Below are 4,068 nucleotides of genomic sequence, written 5' to 3' on the forward strand. Positions count from 1 at the left end.
CTGGCTAGTTGAACTCCTGGCCTCTAGTGATCCTCCTGCCTTGGCCTCCCAAAGTGCTGGAACTGCAGGCATGAGCCAGTACGCCCGACTGAGTGATGGATCTTAGTGAGCTCGGAGCTACCTCCAGGGCAGGCAGTGAGCTTGGTCCCCAAGAGCAAACAAAAGTGTCAGAAGCAGTGATCCTGCTGGACTCCCTGTTCCTGCTGTCCCCTCTTGGGAAGCACAACAGGACTCCCGATGGCCTCCTCTTCAGGCAGGCAGAATGCTGAGCTGTGATCTTTGTCTCTGCGCCACACCATTTACCTGACTCATGGTAATGTGTATTGCACGAATATAAATAGAACCAACTGGTTATGAGAATTTTTGAAATTAAAAAACATTTGAAAGGAGTTTGGGGCAGAGAGTCTATTTTTAAAATCTCTGCTTGTATCAGGCATTTTCTAGGTGTTTCACTGCTGTCCATAGGTTGGAGAGGGAATGAGAATTTGGGGGAAATCTTGGTATCTAGGAAGGAAAATACCTGTGGATCGTCTTAGACCACGCTCTCCATCTAGTTGCATGATGGTGGGGGCGGTGGGTAATGGGTGTGCGGTGGGTATGGGGGCATTGCCTGGATTTTCAGATTTGACTTTGTTTCTCCCAGTAGAAAAAGCACTTCCATGTGAAAAGTTCAGAGCCTGGACAAATCCAGAAAAGATCACTAAGTGAAGTTCAACTTTTCCTTTCCAGAGTGAAGCTGGCAAAGAGTTATGGCTTAGAGTCTTTTCTTTGAAGTTGAGGAATGACTGGTGGTTTTTGGAAGCCAAGGCCGACTTTTCTGGGATGTCAACTAGGAAGAATATGCCCTGGTTCCAGCTGACCCACATGTGCTTTGCAGAGGCCAGGGAGGAAGGCGCAGGGTAACTGTGGCCTGCACAGTGGTCAGGAGTGCCCTGGGCAGCAGAACAGAACAGAATAAAATTTTGCACAGACCACTCTTTCCTTTTCTTCATCAGGCACCACAAAACCAGCAGCATTTTATTCTAGGGAGGGCTCTCTTCTCATTGAGGTGCAGTCGCTCTTCATGCGCCCCCTCCCTTCTGCCTACTTTGCCCTCATTTAAATCTTGTGGGGCAAAAATCAATGTAGCACTTCCAGTAGCCAAATGCAGCATGAGCACCAGCTTTGAGGACAGCTGGCCTGAGCATAACACAGCTGCTGGGAATGGCTGAGGCAGAGATAGGTGTAGTTTGGGCCAAGGAGGCTATGCGGGTTTTGGGGCACTGGGGAGCCCTGAGTGGCACTGCCCTCGCCTGCATACCCTGGAACGACCTGTTTCTGTCCCAGGCTGTGCCTGTTCTTTGTGGATGTCTGCAGGAGCTTCTTGGGGATTCAAGGACCAGCCCCTGATATGCCCCTGTATCCTGGGATCTTTTCAGAGCTCTCCCCCAGCCCCACCATCAATTCCATGCCGCCATGCTCACCAGGAAATGCCAGTGTTCAGGCCCCCTGGATTGCAAAGCCAGAGATCTTGATGTGTTCACCCTGCAGCCACCCAGGGCCGTTGAGACTCCTAGACAGTTGAGATAAAGTGACTCTCCCTCCCTTACTGTCACACAGACACCTACATATCCCACCCTCATGGAGTCCTTTGTGAAAACAATCCCAATTCATGAACAAGGCATCTTTCTCCATTTGTTAAAGTCTTTTTAAATTTATCTCAGTATTGTTTTGCAGTTTTCAGTATATAGATATGTATTTTACATCTTTTGTAAGACTTATACATAAGTACATATTATTTTGGATGTTTATAAATGATACTGTCTACTGATTTCAATTTGATTATTTGTTGTTAGTATATAGAAATACAACTGGTTTTTGTATTTCAACCTTGATAACTTGCTACAGTCACTTATTTTAGTAGCCTTTTGTAGATGCCATTGCATTTTCTACATAGACAATTATATCTCTTGTTACTAATGACAACATTTCTTCTTCCTTTCCAATCTGTTCTTTTTCTTGGCTTACTGCACTGAGTAGAACCTACAGCAAAGGGCATTTTGTCATCGGTAAGTATGATATTAGCTATAGGTTTTCCACAGATGCTCTTTATCAAGTTGAAAAAGTTCTCTTATTTCTAGTTTGCTAAGAGTTTTTATCAGAAATGGATGTAGGATTTTGTCAAATGCTTTCTTTGTATCTTTGAGATGATCATATTTTTGTTTAGATTGTTAATACCGTGGCATGGTGGCACATGCCTGTAGTCCCAGCTACTCAGGAGTTTGAGGCAGGAGGATCACTTGAGCCCAGGAGTTGGAGGCTGCAGTGTACTATAATCATGCCTGTAAACAGCCACTACACTCCAGCCTGGAAAACACAGGGAGAACTCAACTTGAAAGATAAATAGTTAAGGTTTCTGTTTCTTTGTTTGCTTGTTTGTTTGAGATGGAGTCTCGTTCTGTTGCCCAGGCTGGAGTGCAGTGGTGTGATCTCGGCTCACTGTAACCTCCACCTCCCCAGTTCAAGAGATTCTCCTGTCTCAGCCTCCCCAGTAGCTGGGACTACAGGCAGGCGCCACTATGCGCCGCTAACTTTTGTATTTTTAGTAGAGACGGGGTTTCGCCATGTTGGTTAGGCTGGTCTCAAACTCCTGACCTCAAGTGATCCACCCGTCTTGGCCTCCCAAAGTGCTGGGATTACAGGTGTGAACCACTGCGGCTGGCCTGGTTAAGGTTTTTATATTCGGTGTATTTTTATAACAATAAAAATATTGGGGGAAGAAAATAGACAACTTAGAGAGTGTAACTAGGGGTTAATGTGAAGACGCTACATGATCCGTGTTGTGCACAAACAACAATTTTAACCTATCAATGTGTCTTTACAGCAAAACAAAAAGAGCAGAGACACATAGTGGTGCTTATCCGCGAAACTAAAATCTGGAGCAGGGCCTGACTGAGCATCTTCCAGGGCCCACTCCTTATCTCCAGCTGTGCAGGAGCACAGGCACAGGGCTGGGGTCTGCAGAATACTGCCAGAAGTGAGGTGGGTGCTGAGGAGTGGGCTCCACCCAGGCCAGGTGTCCTGCGGACATAAAGGAAAAGAGCGTAACTGTGGCTCAAGCTGAGTTGGGGGCAAATATGGGGTTTAACAGAGTGGGGCACTGTCACTCCCCAAGAGGAGGCAGACAGCTCTGATCACTCCAAACACCCAAAGGTGACTTCGAATCCTTCCCCATTCGCTTGACTTCACTGGACAGCTGGGAACCTGCATCTTTGGTGACTGAATATCCCCACTCTGGTTCCCCAAGGACAGACCCTGAATTGATTCCAGGAATCCACGTGTACAGGTAAGCACTACATTTCCTAGGCTGCCTTGCAGTTGAGATGGCCAGTGAGGTGTCAGCAGAAGTCACAGGCGGGGCTTCCAGAAAATACCCTCAAGAAGCGAACTCAGCTGGGGCTGGGAGGTGTGGGAGCTAGCTCCCTCTGGCTTTGTCGCTGGCTCTCTTCCCAGCTGGACTGTGGGATGATGTTAGGGCTCAGTCAGCCCTCTTGTCGTCCTGGGGATGGAGGCTATGCACCAAGGGCAGGGAGCAGAAATACCAAAGGAACCTGGATTCCCGGGGCTCTCTTGGGGCTGCAAGATGGTGGTGGATTGGCAACTGCAGATATTTGTGTTTATGTATTTTCCATGCAGAAACATCTACAATGGCACTGAGTCTGTAGCGAGGGCCATGCACTGTCTGTCTGAAAGTGCATAAGGGCTCCAGGCACAGGCTTTGTGTCCAAGTACCTTGCTGTGTTTAAGGTACATCACAGCACCGGAGAATGTGGGAGAGGTCACATTCATCCCTTCAAAGCGCAGGGAGGTTCCTATTCTGACACCAGCAACACTTACAAGAATGAACCTAAAGCTGGGCAGTGAGGAAGGAAAGGAAAAAGAAAGTTTATGAATACAGGTAGTATTGTTTGAACCGGTAAGTTGCACTATAAATCACAATAAAAGATAGTCTGTATATCACTAAAACAGAAGAGTTGGCCGCCCTGAGGATGAGGCCTTTGGGTCTCCAGGCATTTGCCAGCTCTCCTA

General features: G+C 47.3%; 1 pseudogene, besides 1 other annotated feature; it reads left to right on the forward strand.

Moving 5' to 3' along the window:
• SERPINB8P1 (serpin family B member 8 pseudogene 1) lies at nt 647-1,043 on the forward strand (annotated as a pseudogene).
• Nucleotides 2,895-3,034: a silencer, noted in NCBI's record as "fragment chr6:3051320-3051459 (GRCh37/hg19 assembly coordinates)". NCBI's record gives its function as "represses an EF-1alpha promoter that drives an FKBP-Casp9 reporter gene in an ReSE screen in both phorbol 12-myristate 13-acetate-treated (for megakaryocytic differentiation) and untreated K562 erythroleukemia cells {active_cell/tissue: K562 | K562(+PMA)}" and the evidence as "EXISTENCE:reporter gene assay evidence [ECO:0000049][PMID:32094911]".

This window comes from Homo sapiens, chromosome 6, assembly GCF_000001405.40.
Source record: "Homo sapiens chromosome 6, GRCh38.p14 Primary Assembly".
NCBI classification, from domain to species: Eukaryota; Metazoa; Chordata; class Mammalia; order Primates; family Hominidae; genus Homo; species Homo sapiens.